Here is a 20,183-nt window from a genome sequence, read left to right as displayed (position 1 = left end):
GTGATTGTGTTATGAGATTCTCGAAGTGAGTTTTTCAGCTCTATCAGATCAATTTTTTTTTTCATAAAATGAGTGTTTCATTTTTTAACTCCTGCATTGTTTCATCGTATTTCTTAGATACTTGGGTTGGGTTTTGACTGCCTCCTGAATCTCCACAATGGATGTTCCTATCCATATTCTGAATTCTATGTCTGTCATTTCAGCCATTTCAGCCTGGTTAAGAACCATTCCCGGGGAACTAATATGGTACTTTTGAGGTAAGAAGACATTCTGGCTTTTTGAGTTGCCACAGATCTTATTCTTTCTCATGTATGTGGGCTGATGTTCCTTCAGTTTTTGAAGTTGCTGTGCTTTGGATGGGGTCGTTTTGTTTTTAATCTTATTTGGTGCCCTTGGGGTTTCATTGTGTTATAAGGTGGGCTCAGTTGGCTGACTTCATTTTTGGAAAATTTTAGGGGGCCAGAGCTCAACTAAGTACTCCTAGGCTGTGTGCTGTAACTCTGGGGGGCTAGTATCCAGCCCTCTGCTTTGTTTTCTGGCCCCTTGAGGTTAGGAACCTGCTTTCCTGGAGGGGCTGAAGTATTTCTGGTCTACTGACCACAACACTCTAATGGGTGGTACCAGCTAAAGTGCTTTTTCGAGGTGGTGCCTTGGGATCTATGCTCACTTGTATGTGTCAGCAAATGCCGCACTGTTTTGGGGTATACTCATGTTGGCTATGGTGGCGTAGCAGTGGGAGCTGGACTGTGGCCTTCCTGCTTGTGCTTGTGCCAGCAGGGGTGGGGCAGGATTTCCAGCATTTGTGTTTGCACTCGCGCTTGCAGTGGCAGGGTGTTGATGGGCATGGGGCCGCCAATGTCTGTGTGCACATTCAAACTGGCAATGATGGCACAGCTGGGTACCTCCCTTTCAGCTGGGGGCATCATTGGGGTGTGCTTGTGCCAGCAGCAGTGGCACAGCAGTCTGCATGCTCACACGTACACTGTGGGGTGGGGGGGGGAAGGGAGGTGAGCTCTGTCCATGTGAGTGCACTGTCACAGATGTGGGTATGTGGCCATGGGCTTCTGCATGCTGGCAAAGTGCCTGGGGAAGGTTGTCGGTAGGCTGGTACATTTCCACAGGGCCCAGTCTAACGGAGCTCTCTGATGGTCAGATGAAGTGTCTTGACAAAGAACATATGAAGAGCCCCAGCGGCACCCTGGTTGGGCATCTGAGGCAGAGCTCCAAGTGGTGCAGTCATGCTGGGGCTGCAGGAGAGGCTAGCATACAGGGCGGTGCCCAGATGGGACTGCCTGTGTCTCATGGGCAAGACCACTTTGCCCTGTCCAGGTCTGACAATCACTCTAAGGCTAAAATCTCCTAGAGGAGCATGGTGAGCCTTGGGGGATGGTCAGTCATTGCCAGGCTCTACTGCAGACGTTCCCACACCAAATCCTCTAGGCTTCAACAGGCTGGAGTCTTGCCCCTACCGCCCCTCTAAGCAGCTCTCCCTGTTAGCATAAGTGTCTGTGGTAGTTGTGATGTCTTCTGCTGCTAGGATTCCAGGGATCTGTGGAGAGAAGAGGCCACTCCTTGCCTCCTCAACTCATCTCTTCCCCAGAATTTTTGGGTGCCAAGAACCAGTCCTGGTTCTCAGTATCCCCATGCCGTGTTTCCAGCTTCCTCCCTCTTCATCCCAGCATCTGCATTCTGCTTCTGTTCACTCTCGCTGCTTCCCCCTGACAGTCTACTCAGAGTATGCCAGTCACCTCCATGTCCCAATCACTGGGTGATAGATGTTCCTCCTGGCTGCATCCAGTTGGCCATCTTGGCCACTACACTGTTTTGTATCCCCTTTGGTCTTAGATGGGTCTCTTACAGATAGCTTGTGCCTGGATTTTCTTCTGTTAAACTAGTCTTATAGTATTTATCTTTTAGTTGAGGATTTGTTTTTAAGTGGACACAGTATTTAATAGTATTGTAATATGCATAATTATTTTATTTTACAATGTTTCTTACTGTAGGAAATTTGAAAATTGGGTAAGTTCTCCTTTTGTTTATAGGGTTAGGAATAGATTTTTCTTAGAAATGTGTATTACAGTAGAGAGCTTTGAGGTATAACTATCATACATTTCTTACCCTGATTTTTAAGTGTACAATTTAATTAATTTTGGCATATACATAACACCATGGAACCATCACCATGATCAAGATAGTGAACAAATTTATCACCTCAAAACTTTCCTCATCTACTATATCCTTGCTGATTTTTCTCTTGTCTCACCAGTTTTTGAGAGAGGATATTGAAATCTCTGATTTTAATTGTGTGTTTGTCTTCATGTAGTCTTCAATTGTATTATTAGCTATATAAATGTGTCTTAGTATGTTTTTGTGTTGCTTCAGAAGAACACCTGAGGCTGGTTAATTTATAAAGAAAAGACATCTCTTTAGCTGACAGTTCTGCTAGCTGGAAGGTTTAAGATTGAGCACATAGTGAGGTCCTCAGGGTGCTTCCACTCATGTCAGAAAGTGAAGAGGAGCTGGTGCATGCAGAGATCACATGGTGAGAGAGGAAGCAAGAGAGTGAAGAGGGAGGTTCTAGGCTCTTTTTAACCAGCAGCTCTCATGGGAACTAATAGAGGAAGGACTCACCGCTCCACCAAGGAAGGGCCTTTATCTAATCATAAGGCATCCACCCCCATCACCCAATAACTTCCCAGTATGCCCCACCTCCAACATTAGGGATCAAATTTTAATATGAAATTTGGAGTGGACAAGCATCCAAGGTATAGCAAATGCTAAGGATTGTTAGGTTTTCTTAATTGGCCCCTGTATTATTATTATTATTATTATTATTATTATTATTATTATTATCATCATCATCATCATGAAATGACCTACTTTGTCCCTGTGCATATTCTTTGCTCTGAAATTTACCTGGTTTAATATTAATATAGCCATTTCAGCTTTCTTTTCTGTTGTGTTAGGATGGTATATCATTTTCTGTCATTCTACTTTTAACCTATGTATTGTATATTTGCATGCATTTTTTTGGTCAGTATTTAGAAGTTAACAGCACTGTGATGAAGCTGCTGACACCCTCAAGCCCTTGTCACCTATGGCTGTGGAAGCTACTCGAAACTAAGGACTTCTGGCTCTGAGCATTATCTTCCCTTTGATCTTGGTTTGAAAGATTGATGTTATTTGTGATATATGGTATTACTGTTACTCTATTACTAAAATATTTTCTAAGGATGAAGCCTGTTACTAGTCAAGTTGCTGTATTTGAAATCTGAGAATTCTGAGAAAACACCTTTCATTACAAGGCATGGTTCAGTACAACTGAATCATTCCTTGTTGCAATATTGAGCTCAGACGTTTCTTATTCTTCACAGCATGATAAATTAATAACCTTTTTGAACTGTGGGCTTTCCTTTGAGTTGTCTGTTAAACCTCAGATTAGATCAGAAAGGAACATCAGAATCTGCAAAAGAAGGGTTTACCTCATTCATCATTGCCACCTACCAGAAAACTGATGGAGTATTTGTAATTGTCACTGAGTGGTGAGGGGACAGATGGTGAACTGTCATCCTTATCAGTGGATGGCTTTTCTCTTTTGCATGGTGTCTGTTTCACAGTATTTCATTAGCTTTATTTTTCTCATCTGTCACTTTAAACAATATAATAAATAAATTGTAACTGATAAAAATATAAGTATATCCTACATCTGTGGAAAGGGACCTTAGCAGAGTTGAATCTTTTGTATAATTAAAATGACATATTTATTTTCAGAAGTTGTCATTGCCATATATGTTTAAAGTGATGTAGTCACAAATGATGCATAAATAATAAATGATGCATAAATGATAAAAATGCATTGCATTTCAGATTTTCAGATTTTCTCAAATTTACTGTTTGACAGAATTTTAAACTTAAATATAATGGAACTGTCAGTCTTTTTCTTTTATTTTTAAAAGCATTTCTTGAGCACTTGCTTGTGTAATCTCTATTAGGCCAGGTGCTAGGGAAACATAGGTAAAAGATGTCATGTGAGCCCACCTCTGACAAATTTCACAGTTTCTTGAATCTCTAAACACACTCATTTTTATATGAATTAAGTAATTTTTCTATATTGTTGTCTTCATTTTTGAATAGTGTTTGAATACTGTCTGTGGATACTTTATTTGATATGCCTAATGCCATCCAAGACATTCGTAATTACAAATCAGCTTTAAAGAGTTCCTCTGTGTACTTTCTGGAACATAATCTGTTGGAATGTTTTCTTGGATGAGTGATCATCTATGAAAAGAACAGTTTACTACAGATTCCTTTGGTCTTAGTCTGAATAAAACTCTGGCCCCCAGAGAATCATTCCTCCTTAACTTAAGCAGTTAGCATAAGTCCTTGATACATAGTAGGTTTTGAATTAAATGTTAGTGAATTGAGCTAAAACCCTAACTTATTATCTTCAGTATGCTGTATCTATGGGGATGCTATATAAAATATGTGATAAAGTGCTGTCTAAAAATGCCCTTTGTTTTTAGGTGAGTGTTCCTTTATTTTTCCCTCTTTTATCTGTTTCTCTGTCTTGTTCTCCCAATTTTCCTTCTTCTTCTTTCTCTTCCAGGTACCTTGATCTCTTTCCTGCCCTCCTATACCTTCCTCACCTTTTACTTCTCTCACCCTCTTCATCATCCAGAGAAACAAGAAATATAAGTTTTAACCCTTCAGTCCCTCACCCCTTCCCAATTTGGGTAGAAGGCAGTGAGGGAGTATTATAAATGCTTCCTATTTATCTTATTTGTTGTCGTGCTGGGCAGGCTTAAAGCGGTGGTATACTTAATAATATTTTTTAAATGTGAGGAAAAAAAATGGATTTTTCAGTTAACTGGTAAAACTGGATTTTAGATTCCAAAGTTGATAAAATGTAGGCTGAGACTGAGAGGAAATTTTTTTCCAAATGACATGTGAAAACCGTTGCACTAATTTTTTATGTATTTAGATTTGTAACTTGGTTTCCACCCTGGTCTTAAAAATAAACTTTAAAGAAATAAGCCTTTAAGCAAGACATTGAATTTTTTTTGAAAAACTCTGATTTTCTAATAAAAAAATTTGTATTACTGTAATTAAGCTTTGGATCCTTTTTTTCAAAGTGTACATTTAAATCCATTTGATCTAGGAAGAAAAGTATCTTTGAATATTCTAAATTCTATTATAATATTTAAAATAATGGGAAGGAGATTATTTGCTTCATTGTGCCACATTTTATGGAATGTGTTTGAGACAACACTTGACAGAACTCTAAAAATGGCAGCTTAATGAAATTCTGTGTTGTGTCATTTATATTTCCTGCCTATTCTATTTTTAGAACTTTTATTCTTTTCCAAAGATCATGAACCTATTGGTCAGTTTTTTTCCCCATGTCTCTTAAAAAATAGGAAATATGGGAACCCTTAGGAGGAGTCTGATAGACTATCAAGGTCATAAACCTGAGTATGAATTATTTCATAGAATACGGTAAATTATGTTAGGAAAACCAGAGCTTTGGTCTAGTATGCCATAAAAGGTAATTAAAAGAATAAGAAGGGTGTAAACTTTGATGAGATCATGTCTGCATACGTATTAGTTTCTTTATGTACATTATTATTATTTTAAACTATAGCAGTGTTGTTTAAAATTTTACAGTGTGACTTAAAAACTAGACTTAAAATTTTATTGTGTGTGTGGAATTAGCCACCATTAATTAGCTTTTGGGCTTGTTACATTGATTTTTAGAATATTAGGGAAGGAGGACTTTATAATTTATTATCTAATCCCTTAATTTTACTAATTAGGAAACTGATGCCTAGAGAAGTCAGTCAGTCATGAGTTGCAGACTTTATCTTGGTGTGGATCTCTTGACTCACAGTTTAGTGCTCCTTCTACTGCATCAAGCTGCTTTTCTATACCTAAAATAAAAACAGTGTCCCTATTAAGGCTTAATTAGAATTAACAGTATGAAATATGGTCAACTAAGACTCATTTCTGATTCTCTTAGTAGGAGATAGGAATTGTATTATGCAGGATTCAGTGAGGCTAGAAGTCACATTTTAAAAATTATATTAGGAAGGAAGGAGATCCAGGCACCTTTTGGGAAGATTTTTATTGTGATTCACATTTTGAAAATGAGTAAGTCAGTCTTATCTACTGTGTCTCACAGGGTATATCTTTGCTTTTACTTGTGCCTGTGACATAGTAATTAGCTTTGAGAATAGATACAAAAAGATAAGTGATGTCTATACAACAGATATTGTACAACAACTATAACCTTATGCAAATTGACCCTCTTTACTTGAAAGATACTGCTTTTTCTTCCATTTCCTTAATAACATTATTTATAATATTTATAATAAAGTACATATTAATATATATTTATTGTAGAAAATTGAAGCAAAAACAAAGTAATGCCTGCTGTATTAACATTTTGATCTAATTATTTTCTTCTTTTTATGCCCAAATATATAAAACTCACACATTTATATATAAACTGCATTGCATAGATTTGAATCCAGAATTTCTATTTAACATTATACAATGAAAATTTTAATATAATTAATATTGTTTAAAATTAAATTTATATAGTATCATCTCAATGCATGTGCCATAATTTATGTAATCAATTTCTTACTGCTGATATTTTGTTGTAAATCTCACTGCAGTGAATATCTTTATAGAGAAATCTTTTTGTACATCTCTATTTCATTATGGCAATTTTTCAGAAATAAAATTATTTAAAGTACCTTTTTTTGACTGATCACTTACTAAATATTAGGTAGACTGGGGTATAAGACTAGTTGACTGTTTAGCAAGGTAGATTGTTATGAAATGTGACTATGTAGAACAGAGGCAGGTATACCAGTATCCAAAGACCTCCATCTTTTTGATGGCTGGAGCTATAGATGACTTGAAGCGAACAGCATTTGAAATAAAAGGAGGTAAAATTTCTGTGTTTTTCTGATCCCAGCCAGTGCAGGCTGGGTGAAGGAAGTGGGGTGTTAAGAAAGGATGCCATCAAGGCTCAGGGCCCAAAGGTTGCATTCTAAGGTTCTGAGCAGAGTTCAAATCACAGCAGGAATCTCAAGCAATGAGTAGGGAGAAGAAGAAATTAAGAAACCCAGTTTCAGCCGGGCACAGTGGCTCACGCCTGTAATCTCGGCACTTTGGAAGGCCGAGGTGGGTGGATCACCTGAGGTCAGGAGTTCGAGACCAGCCTGGCCAACATGGCAAAACCCCATCTCTACTAAAAATACAAAAATTAGCCAGGCATGGTGGCGGGCGCCTGTAATCCCAGCTACTCGGGAGGCTGAGGCAGGAGAATCACTTGAACCCAGGAGGTGGAGGTTGTAGTAAGCTGAGATCACGCCACTGCAGTCCAGCCTGGGTGATAGAGTGGGACTCCATCTCAAAAAAAAAAAACCAGTTTCATGGAATGGACTACCCACCCCTGAGGATAGATTGAAGAGTGCTGCATGCCCAAATACAGAAGCGTTCAAGTGTATTGGATTCTGGACCTAGAGTAGCAAGAGTAATTTCAGAACCTACAAGTTAGTATATGGATCCTGTTAGTGTACTTCGTATCATGGCAGATTTGGCTATGGAATTATGGGAAGGGCATTAGAACCTTCACTTCAAAGTAGCTCCAGAAAGCAGAGCCTGACCGTTTTTTGTCAGCATTGTTACTTAGAAGGTTCAGCTTCTGCATCATTCTGTAATTGCCAGTTAAATTTTGTCCTGTTCCATAGCCTCAGACATAAGAGAACCAAGCAAGGAAAGTGATGAGGTCAATACAAATATATCACCTCTTCTTTCAGTAAAGCATATCCTTATTAATTTTACTTTTCTGCAGAAGATTGTTTTCTCCTATCCTTATAACAGATTTCAAACTTGCAGTACAGTATATGCTTTCAGCACTTGAATAGTGCACAAATGTGTTAATTTCGTTTTAAGTTCAGGTCTTAGATGCTTGAGAGATATAAATATTATAATTTCATCTACTTATTTGGCAAGCCAAACATGGAATTTTAAGATTTATATGTATATATTATTTTTCTCTACAAAATGACTCTTTTGTAAACTATTATGGTGAATTTAAAACATACATAATAGTTGACAGAATAGTATGATGAACCTCCACTTACTCATCACACAACCTTGCAGTGATAAACTTGTGGTAAATCCTGCCTCATTGGCATTCCATCCGCTCTCCATAAGTACTATCTTGAAGTCAATTCCAGGTAACATTTCATTATGGCTATTTTTTATGGAGGTTTTCTTTCTGCTTCCGAAAGTAACACATGCTTCTTATAAAAGAGGAAATTTAAAACTTGTCACAATCATCTAGTGAGAAATTTTAATTTTTGCCTTTTCTTATGTTACTTTATGCGTGCCAATGTATACATATAAATACACACAAAATATATATTATGTATAAAACTTTGCTGCATAATTGTATTAGGGAAAGGTCTAAGCTGCTATAGAAGCACCAAAATACAGTGATTTTAAGAACATAGAAATTTATTTTTTACAGTACAGTTCTGAGGTAAGCAGAGTAGGTTTTCAGGGTCGCTTTATGTGACATATTTTTTCAGGGACCCATCTTCTGTCTTTACCATCTCTTCAGGTATGCCCTCCCTTCATGATTAGAGCTGTTGTTACAGGCTCTTTTCTGTTGGAATTTGCAGAAGGGGAAGAGTAAATGGACCTTAAAACACCGAGTATGCATTCATTTTCCATTGATGAGTACTCAGTCACATGGTCACCTCAAGCTACAGGAAGGACTGGAAATTCAGTTCATAGTGAAAGACTTATGTGACTTGCTATAAAGCTCTATTACTATGGAGTCTGGTGCAGTGCAATATTTCTTTGTCCTCTTTATTTCCTCCCTTATAGACACATGAACCTAGAGTCTTAGACTCAGGTTTGATCCATTTGGTAAGACTATAATTGGTGTTGAGTTCTTTCATCAAGATGAACATAATGTTTGATTGTTTTTTATTTTTGTGGTATTGACGTATCAGCTATTGACGCTTAGTACCTAGATCCACTAATTAATAGATATGGGGATATTCCAGTTCTGCATTTCATTTTCATTTATTATTTGTAATACATTTATAAAGAAATGGTTCCCTCATCTACTATTTGGCTACTGAGTACAGTTTGTAAATATGTGTGTAAGTCAGTACACATTTTTTATTATTTACCAGTTTTCAAGATAATGAACTGGTTTCCTATTATCCTCCAAAGTTATCTGATTGGGGTGTGTGTGTGTGTGTGTGTGTGTGTGTGTGTGTGTGTATAGATAAATTATGAATTGATGGATTTAAATGTTTTTAATGGGTTTCAGTGATTTGTAGTTTTCCTGTTTGAATCTCAAATTATGCCATCTTTTGTTCAGTGAGAGTCTTTTAGAGTTTGTTTTCAAGTCCTTTTGACATGAGCCCAGTCAAATTTGATAGTTGCCTTGCTACCCAGTTTGACAAGGTGTTAGACTTATTATCAGCCATTTTGGTAAGAAACTCTGCTTACTTTTACTGGGAAATGATATTTCAAGACCATAATCAGAGATGCTCATTGCTACTGGGTTGATCATTGTGAACAGAATTAGGAAATGAAGAAATGAAATACGTGTATATGTGTGTGTCTGTTCAGCCTCCTCTGCATTGCATCCTGTATCTCTTTTCTTCCATACCAAATATCAGGTTCTCAAGGACAGAAGAGATGATAGAATTATAATATAACCATATTTACTCTATCCTGCCCAACACATGGAACAGTCTTAGAATAACATTACTAATAGTACCACCATCAGTGTAATTACCAAGAACAGTTTAAATTTCTTTTCATATGTTTTCCCCATTCTCCCCATCTTTTAAAAATAGTAACACGATGATAAATCTGAGACACCAGCATTATATACTGGATTCTTTAGCTTTTATCCCTAGTTTAGTCTCAGTTCTGTAAGTATGTATGCAGTGTTCACCAGTAGTCCTTGTCCATGTCTCTCCTGTCATTTTTCTTTTCTAAGGCATGTTCTGAGGAATCATGTAGATTCCTCAGAAAGGTTTGTGATAATAATATTCTCTAGGTTTTGAAAATGTTGATAATAATTTGTGCTTTTCTTGCTTGAAAGTTAATTTTACTAGATAGAAAATCTTTAGCTTATATTTCTTTCTTGAAAATGCTAAATACATTATTTTCTTTTGGCATAAAATGTTGCTGTCAAAAAGGCTGATGATAATCCAGTTTTTTTCCTTGTAAGTGACTTGTTTTTTTTCCCCCTAAATGCTGAAATAAATTTTCTTTTTATTTAAGGCTCAGAAATTTTAATAAGATATGTCAGTATTAGCCCTTTCTAGGTCAGTATTTTCGAGTGTATTGTGTACTCTTTCAGTATTTATATTCTTCACTTGATCTTAGCCAAAAGGCTGAGAAGCGATTCTTTTTATATTCTTGAAAGTTTTATTGGATTAAAGTTTTTAATATTTGATCTTTTCTCTTGCTTTGATTTACTTTGTCAAGAACTCCTATTATCTGGATCTCATCTTTGTCCTCTTGCAGTATTTCCACTTACTTTGAAATCATTTTTTATTAAAAAATTGTATCCTTTTTATTTACATTTTGAGGCATTATTTGTTGTGTTTATTTACTCTTATACATCTTCTGTTTTGTTTTTATTCCTTAAATGATTTCTTTCATTGCAATCTTTTTTTGAGTTTTAAGACCTAATTATTGAGTTTTTAAGATAGTGATTTCTGTTGTTCTCTCATGCCTTATATCATTTTTTGTGTGTGTTTCAGCTTATTTTGAAATAGAAAGTTACATTTTGACCTGTGCATACATGTTTTTGATGTGATTTGTTGTTGTTTGTAAGGTTGCTATTCAGCTTATTTGTTTTCTTCTGATAACTTTGGCATTTGACCTTGATAATTTTCTCTTGCAAATTTTTACATGGAATTAGTTTTATGAAACTTTTAGAAGGACATGTTTTAGGATAGCCATTCTAACTTCATAGAGATCCCTCTTATACAATTTTTGTGAAAAATGTAGTGGCTTGAGTTCTGAAGTTTCCTGGTTCTGTTTTCCTGTTCTGCTTTTAGCTAGGCATTGTTTTCCCCTTTGTCTCTATTATCCCTAGTTTGTACAATTTAAATTCCTTTCCCAGCAGTTTCTCCTGGAAGGGATCCCTGGTGGCTCATTTCCAGAGTCATAAGGGCTGCCCTCCACTAGTCAGATCAGACCTTCTTAATGCAAGGACCATTTACTCACCTCCTATTGAAGTCGCCAGAGCCCCTCTCACTTTCAAATGCTGTTCTCAAATTAGCCTGTTAACTCTCCAGTGAGTAACTGTTCCTTTTTTAGGGTTCTTATGTTCTGATACTCATTATTCATCCTGATGTTTCCCCCTAATTTCTCCTGCAGACACTGAAACGCTACTTCTCTGATGGTAGTTTGTCCACCCTCACTTCTTTTTTTTTTTTTAAACGGAGTCTCGCTCTGTCTCCCAGGCTGGAGTGCAGTGGTGCGATCTCGACTCACTGCAAGCTCCGCCTCCCGGGTTCACACCATTCTCCTGCCTCAGCCTCCAGAGTAGCTGGGACTACAGGCACCTGCCATCACTCCCGGCTAATTTTTTTGTATTTTTAGTAGAGACGGCGTTTCACCGTGTTAGCCAGGATGGTCTCAATCTCCTGACCTTGTGATCTGCCCACCTCGGCCTCCCACAGTGCTGGGATTACAGGCATGAGCCACCACACTCACTTCTATTTGGAGGTTGTGGGAATACCTTGTCACTTAGTATGGTTGTAAATATTTTTCATGGGTTTTACTTTAATATCTAATTGCTCTTTATGTTTGTATATGGAGATTCAGAGAGTTCAAAATTCTGCTACCACTGCCACCATCTTCTCAGAATTTTCTTTTATAATCTCAATCTGTTGCCCAGACTGGAATGCAGTGGTGCAATCACGGCTCACTGTTGCCTCAACTTCCCAGACTCAGGTGATCCTCCCACCTCAGCCTCCCATGGAGCTGGGACCGCAGGTGCATGCCCATGATGTCCTGCTAATATTTTGTGAAGATGGGGTTTTTCCATGTTGCCCAGGTTGATCTCGAACTCCTGGGCTCGACGATCCACCCGCCTCTGCCTCCCAAAGTGCTGGGATTACAGATATGAGCCCCTGCACCAAACCTTTAATAAGGATTTTAATGACTATTACTTCTTCATAGAAATATACCATAATTTACTAAACCACTCCCTCAGTGTTGAAAAAGCTTCTTTTTACATGCTTTCCATCTTCAGAAACCATGTCAAAACTTTCTTCCTGTATAACACTGTAATTATTTTAATGGACAGATAGATGATTTTTACTCTTTTATCATCAAAAGGTGATCTCTCTCTTAGAAGAAGCAAAAGCATAATGCAAACCATTAAAAGGTAATATGTAAAGACTTGAAATGTATTTATAGAAAACTGGACAGAAGAAACATCCTAAGTCACAGAAAACAAAATGCAGACAAATGGTCAAGCATACTAATACCAATATTTCAGTTAACTAATCCAGAGATTTAGAAACAAAACAGGAACACCACATACTGGCAAACCACTTGCGGGGACATAAATTAATTCCCATTTTGATTGTTCAATTTGAGAATAGTTATCAAAAGTCTTAAAAATATGTATAATCTGTGGCCCAGGTTTTTCATTTCTGTGATTTGATCATAAAGGAATAATTGACTATTTGTTTAAATTTGAACTATAGGAATATTTTGTTGCACTACTTATGACATTGAAAAATTAAAAATTATCCACATGTCTAACAATAAGGCATTACTCAAAATAGGTATATTCATGAAATGGAATAGCTTACATCTGTTAGCTTATGTTGTAGAATTATTATTTAATGGAAGGAATATATATTTATATCAAATATAGCAAATTTAAAAATTTCATAAATGGGAGAACCTATTTTTAAAAAACTATATGTGCAAAGAACAATGTCTGGAAGAATATACTTCAAAACAGTTTTTTTCTAGGTATTAGAAATATTTTAATTTTTATTTATATATATTTTGTATAATGAACACATTTTTGTGTTAAGAAAAAGTTTACTATTAAGTCAAACAAAAACATGCTCATTTGTCTCTGGTTTGAGATTTTAAAAACATTAACATTAATATGAATGCCTGATGTATGTGGTTTTGTATGTGAATATGTGTGTAAAGGCGTTGTCTATAATAAAGATATGATTCTTGATAGTTCTGGATAGAGTCCAAGTTTTTTTGTTTAGTGACTGCATTTGTGTATAAGTTTCCTGAGTGGTTTCTGTTAGATATGTAAATAACATTTATATACAACTGAAAATTGTATAATTTGGATCTTTCACAAAACTGAAGATATCATTTAGAATATTTCTTTTCCTCAGTGTAGTGATCAAATCACATGTCGGAGACTAGCCTGCATGAGCAGCATGGCGGGAGGGAATGTGGAGTAATAAAAAACCTTGATCTTGTAAAGTCAGCCAGTCGTGGTTTTGATCTTGAGCTTTGTGACCATGGGCATTATACCAAACTTCTTTGAGATTTGCATCAGTAAACATCTGTGTTTGTTAACCATCTGTGAAATGTAAACATACTACCACCTGCTTTATGGGATTGTGAAGATGATAGGAAATAATGTATGTAATTGATTCAGTCCTTTGCTAATCACATAATAAGTGTTCAATAAATGGTAGTATGGATGGTGCTTTCATATATGACTTGCTTTGTTCCATATGTCTTTGGGAGATAATGGGAAGAGGGTTTTCTCCTCCCTGCCACTCGCTGTTTTCTTTCTTTGAAAAGAAAGACCTGGGTTATTTGTTTTAAGTTTTTTTGTATGTGTGTACTTACTACTTAAATCATTGCTTTATGTTAGTGCTACTGTATAAAGGTATAGTATACCATAGGCCTAGTTTATCAAAGAAAATATTCTACAGTGAGAGAATACTTTCTTCATTTGTCTGTGGGTTTTTGTTGTTGTTGTTGTTGTTGCTGCTGCTTGTTTTTTGTTGGTAGGTTCATAATTTGGAAAGTGAGCACAACTCTGTAGCTCAGACCTATTTCCAGCCATATCTCTAAGGTAGTAGTCAAGAATGTGGATTCCCTAATCACACTGTCTGGGTTTAAATTTAGGCTCTGTCACTTTACTAGCTGCAGTGTCACTCAGTCATGGTTTTGGCCTTCTAACTTTGAAAAAGTTAGCTTTGTGTCCAAGTTTTCTCATAGTTAAAATGAGGATAATAAAAATATATACCTTCTAAGTTTTTTCTAAGTATCGTTGTAAGGACGAGATGAATGATATTATATAAAGTACTTAGCTCAATGTATCTTGTGTAATAAGGGCTGAAAAATACTATTATTAGTTGTTATTACATTGACTCTCTTTTTATTTATCTAACACATACTTACTGAGTGCTTGCCATATGCCAGGCACAGTTCTAGGCATAGAAACATCAGTGAACAAAACAGACAAAGTCATTGCCCTTGGGAAACTTATGTTTGAGGATGGAAATTGAAAATGATTATGTAATGTTAGGCAGTGATATGACTATGAAGAAATAAGGAGATGACAAATAATAGAGGGTGTATGTTAAGACTGAGCATTCACTTTGGTCAAGACCACGTAAATACCCAAGAGAATATTCTTGGCTAAGGGAACAACATATATAGAGCCCTGAGGCAGTAAAGTTTCTGATGAATGTGGGGAACAACAAGAGGACCACTGTGGATGTAGTTTTAGTGAAGAAAGAAGAGAATGGTAGATGAGATCAGAGAGATCAATGACTCAGCCTTGTAGGTCATGGTGAGAAATTTGGATTTACCCTAAGTGTGATGAGAATGTAAGTTTTGATAAAAGGAATGATGTGATTTGACTGTTGTTTTAAAAAAATAAGTGGCCATTTTTATAGAGAAAAGACCTATGGGGTCAAATTAGAAACTGTGAGACCAGTTAAGAGGCTATTGCAGTAATATAAATGACTTAGAGCAGGTGGTGGTGGTAGGGATAAGTGGTTGAATTGGGGATATATATGAAAAGAGAACTGATAGGATTTGCTGATGTATTGGATGTGAGCAATTATGCAAATGATGGTACCGTTTACTCAAATAGAGAACACTTTCAGAAGAACAATTTGATGTATATAAAGAACATAAGAGTTTTGTTGTAGACGTGTTATTTTCGAAATGCTGATTGTGGAAATGTTCCACCTAACTGGAGATTTTGAGGAGACTTTTTTTTGTTTTTTTTTTAAAGACAGTCTTGCCTTGTTGCCCAGGCTGGAGTGCAGTGGCACGATCTTGGCTCATTGCAACCTCTGCCTTCTGGGTTCAAGCAGTTCTTCTGCCTCAGCCTCCCAGGTAGCTGGGATTACAGGTATGTACAGGCATATACCACCATGCCCGGCTAATTTTTGTATTTTTAGTAGAGACGGGATTCTACCATGTTGGCCAGGCTGGTCTCGAACTCTTGCCCTCAAGTGATCCTCCCACCTTGGCTTCCCAAAGTTTTGGGATTACAGGTGTTGAGCTGCTGTTCTGGCTGAGGAGCGTTTTTTTTTTTTTTTTTTTTTTTTTTTTTTTTTTTTTGAGACTGAGTCTCGCTCTTGTTGCCCAGGCTGGAGTGCAATGGCACCATCTCGGCTCACTGCAACCTCCACCTCCTGGTTTCAGGCAATTCGAGGAGACATTTTTATGCAGGTGAATGGAGTTCAGGAGAGAGGTCAGAACTAGAGATAAAAATTTGAGAATTTTCTATGTATGAGTAATACTTCAAGTTACTGCATTAGGTGAGTGAGTTTGGATAGAGAAGAAGAAAGCTCTGAGTATAGCTCTGGGATGCTTCAACATTTAGAGGTCAAGAAGAGGAAAAGGACCTAGCAAAGAAGACTTAGAAGGAGCAGCCAATGAGTTAGAAGGACAATGTGATGTCAGGAAACCTAGTGAAGGAGTCTCAGGTAGGAGGAAATTATCTGTAGGACTAAGGTTGCAAGAAACAGATAAGAACTGAACATTGGCCACTGGCGTTACTGACCTTGACAAGGAAAATTTGTAGATTGGTAAGGGTGGTAAGGGCAAAAGCTGGACTAAAATGAGTTTGGGAGCGAATGAGAGCTAAGGAAGTAGAGGCAAAATACACTTGTTTCAACAAATTTTGGTACAAAAGGATAGTAGCTGATCAGAGACATACAAACAAGAATCCTTTTGAGATGATTTAAGTAGAAACGGGAAAACTGATGATGTAGATAAGAGGAGAAATAACCATAAAAATGCGAGACAAGGAATGGGATCCAGTTTATATTTGGAGGACTTGCTCTTAGATAGGAACAGGTGTTCATATATTATAACAGGAGGGAAGAGAGTGTACGGGCACATATGCACATTGTTTGATACATTTAGCTGTGGGAGTGTGTGGAAGCTCTCGTCTGAATAATGCTGTTTTCCTTAATCAAATAAACATAGTCATGAACTGAGAGATGGGGTTAGGAGATGACGGATATTGGAGATTTAAGGAGAGAGTCTAAAATAATTTTTAGCAAGGCAAGTGTGTAGATTAACTAATGTAAAGTTGCTTGACTGCCTGGGAATACTAGAGGCCACTTGAGGTGTAATTTCATAAATTTAAAGTTTGTAATTATAGCCACATTAATCTGCTTCAGACATAGGCTCAGAATAGGGAGAGAGTTGGATTTAGGATTGGGATTTTGCCATGCATGTATGAAAGAAGAAAGGGGGAAAAGAGTTGAGCACAGGCAACAGAATGATTATAGTGATAGGCCATAAAATCTAAGATGGATAAGGAGGGGAACTTGACCAAACACTATGTGCTCTTGCTGAACCAAAGTTTTGCTGTGGATACCCACATTCCACTTTCTCATCTCTAGGATGTGTTTTCTGAGATGACCTTCTTTTTCCTTCCTGCAGCCTCACCCTACTCACAGGCCAAATATACTTACCTAATATCCGTATGTTCACATTTTATCCTTTCTTCAAGGGATAGCAGATATGGTGCTTCCTTGCTGAAGTTTCCCCCTCTTCCGCCTAGTGAACAGTGATCTTGTTTCCCTCTTCGGGTTCTTAACGGCACTCTAAATCTCTGATTGGCTTGGTATTATAGATGATATTATAGTTTTGTGAATATATTTTACCTTTCCTACTCTACTTGTGTGATATCTTGGTAGGGTTTATGTCCATGTAGCCTTAGCATTGGCACAATTGATATGCAATGAAGTGAAGTCAGTGATGTAAAATCCTTAAGTAAAACAGTTTCTTCAACGTTTTCCATAACAATTGTAGAAACCAGTGTATTACGGAGATTACTTTTAGTTTCATCAAATGTCTTAAACTCACTGTAGTCTATAGCAATCCTATATTATATTTAAATGATCATCCTCATTATTATTATTTTATTTATTTATCTTGCAGGAGCATCTTTCCTTGAAGAAGTACATTATTGACATTGTGGTTGAAAGTACAGCTCCAGCAGAAGCTTTGAAAGATGGAGAAGAGCGGCAAAAAAATAAAAAAAAAGCCAAAAAGATAAAAGCCCGGATGAACTTCAGGTACCTTAAATACCCTTAAAAGCAAAAGAAAAACTTTTAGTGATGTATCTTTTAATGTAAATCCAAGGAAGACAAAAAAAGTTTAAAGTTGTTTGCTTCATGAAAGCCTTGGAAATAACACTGATGAGCCTAATTTATAGCCACTTTCCTTGATTGAGAAAGAAAACTGCATATCGATCTAAAGCCCTTGCTTTCACCTGTTAAGAGCTCTTCTTATAATTGGATGCCAAAGCTCTGCCAAACTTGTGCCTCCTCCAGCATACAATAGTATGTTTAAGTATGTGTAAACCAAGCCTATTTTTCTTTCCAACTATTGATTTTTAAATGAAGTATCAAAGAAAATCAATAGCAATCAACAAATAGAAGTCTACTGGCTGTAGTGTCAAATCCCATGACTAGGCTTAATCAATTTGGTTGCCTGTCACAACAAGAAAAAGTTCAAGAAATATCTTAAAATGGAAAGTGAGTTGTCAGACCTGTAGTTTATCATCAGCCTCCAAAGTGTCATCTGAAGATCAGACAGCTGTGTAGTACATCATTACCTCACAAGCTTTGAGTGTCATCTGATGACGGATGAGTCCGGTTCGAGGACACAGAGATAGCTCTGCTTTAGCAGATAATCCTTTGCTATTCAAGGGCAACTATTCTGAATATGTCCGTATACTTTTACTACTAAGTGTCTCAAAGATGGAGAAGCTTGACCCATGGGATTATAGGAATATAGAACGTACAATAATAGTGAACAGTGCAGTTATCTCTCTGTAGTTTCAGTGTTTAGATAATGATCAATCTAGGTGTCTATTTCAATTTACATAATCAATGATAACTTCAGAGTGCTCATTTAATCAAAGAATAGAAAAGGCTTTTTTGATTTTAGTTTTTGAAGTTAGTCCAGATTTCTCAGAATAGTTTTACGGTGTATTTTAGAGCATTACTGACCTTCATTTCTAGTTTATCCTGAGAACTTGCAGACCTCTTGATACTTTTGAATGTTTTAAGGGCCTGTTTTTTGAACCTGTCTATTTTTAATGTTCACATTCTCTTGGTGAGCTCCCTGGTTCTGCGGCTATAAATACCTCTACTTGCCAATGACTACCAATTTTATATCTTCAGCTTTACTCAAACTTAGTATGTCCAAAACAAACCTGCTCTTTCTTCTTGCCACAAAAACCTACCTCATTTCATAGTCTTCTCTATATCAGCAAATGAATACTTTATTCTAGTTGCTTAGGCCAAAACCATTAAAGTCATCCTTGATCTGTCTTTCTCCTACACCTCACATCCAATCTAACTGCAAATGTTAGCTTTGCTTTAAAAATATATTCAGAATTTGACAACGTCTCTCTAACTTCACTGCTTTCCCCTGATCCAAAGCTTCAGTCAGCTCTTACCTGGATTGTTATAGTAGCCTTCTGACTAGTCTTGTTTCTGCCCTTGTATATTCTAAACACTGCAGCCACAACAGACCTGCTAAAATGTAAGTCACAGCCTGTCGCTGCTCTTGTCAAAACCTCAAGGATTTTATAGTTCAGGTTTCCTCTTCCTAGAAGGTTCTTCTCACATACATCCATACAGCTGGCTTCCTTGCTTCCTTCAGGTCTTTGATCAAATGTCACCTTATCAATGAAACTGCTTTTGAGGGCCTTTTTTTTTAAATGTAACTAATGCTTTGTTTAAGGAAAATCTTAAAAATGTAAATAACCATAGGAAAAATAGTTTTATCTTCTAATATTTTGCCATCTGTGTCCATTCTATGCATACTAACTGTATCTATTGACTTTTTTCATTGATGTATGATTTATTTAAGTGCAATGTGGCGATGTCAAAAATACACCATTTGAGTTTTGAAAAATCTAGACAGTCATACAATCCATACCCCTATCAAGATATAGAACATTTTCATTTCCCCATAAAGTTCTTTGTTCCTCTTTGCAGTCAGTCTCCCACCACTCCTGGCCTGAGGCAACCGCTGGTATGCTTTCTATAACTGGAGATTACTTTTTCCAGTTCTAGAAATTTATACAAATGACATCCACTCTTTTGCAGCTGGCTTTTTTTTTTTAACTGATTATACTGTTTTTGAGGTTTATCTGTGTTGATGTGTATATGTAATTTCTTCCCTTTTTATTGCTGACTATATCCATTGTATGGATATACCACATTCTACTGATAGACATTTAGGTTTCCAATCTGGGACATTTATAAATAAAGCTCCTTTAAAGTCTTTGGGTGAACAAATATTTTTATTTCTCTTCGGTAAATACCTACAAGTAGAATTGTCAAACTGTTTTCCATAGTAGTTGTGCCATTTTATACTCCCATTAGCAATCCGTGAGAATTCCAGGTCCTTCACATTCTTGCCAATATTTGGTATTACTAGTTTTTAAAATTTTAGTTTAGTTCTAGTGGGAATGTAGTGGTATCTCGTTGTTCTAATTTGCATTTCCCCAGTGACTAACACATATATTGATCATCTTTTCATATCCTCTAAAACTGTTCAGTATTTTCCTTTATGAAGTGTCCCAATTTAAAAAAATGGGCTGTCATTTTATTAGTCATTTATATATTCTG

The 20,183-nt window shown here is 36.7% G+C and overlaps 1 protein-coding gene across 26 annotated transcripts in view; it reads left to right on the top strand.

Annotated features, from left to right (window-relative positions):
• The window catches only part of SCAPER (S-phase cyclin A associated protein in the ER), a 557,437-nt gene that overhangs the window by 222,076 nt on the left and 315,178 nt on the right, over positions 1 to 20,183 (top strand). For all 26 annotated transcript variants that reach the window (NR_148227.2, XR_007064448.1, XM_017022273.2 and 23 more), the window contains one exon: positions 17,476 to 17,612. Coding sequence is in view for 24 of the 26 variants with exons in the window: in XM_017022273.2 (XP_016877762.1) it covers positions 17,476 to 17,612 (137 nt within the window). In the remaining 2 variants the exon portion in view is untranslated. The remainder of the gene's footprint in view (positions 1 to 17,475; positions 17,613 to 20,183) is intronic.

This window comes from Homo sapiens, chromosome 15 (assembly GCF_000001405.40).
Source record: "Homo sapiens chromosome 15, GRCh38.p14 Primary Assembly".
Lineage (NCBI taxonomy): Eukaryota > Metazoa > Chordata > Mammalia > Primates > Hominidae > Homo > Homo sapiens.
This window is presented reverse-complemented; position numbering and strand designations above follow the sequence as displayed.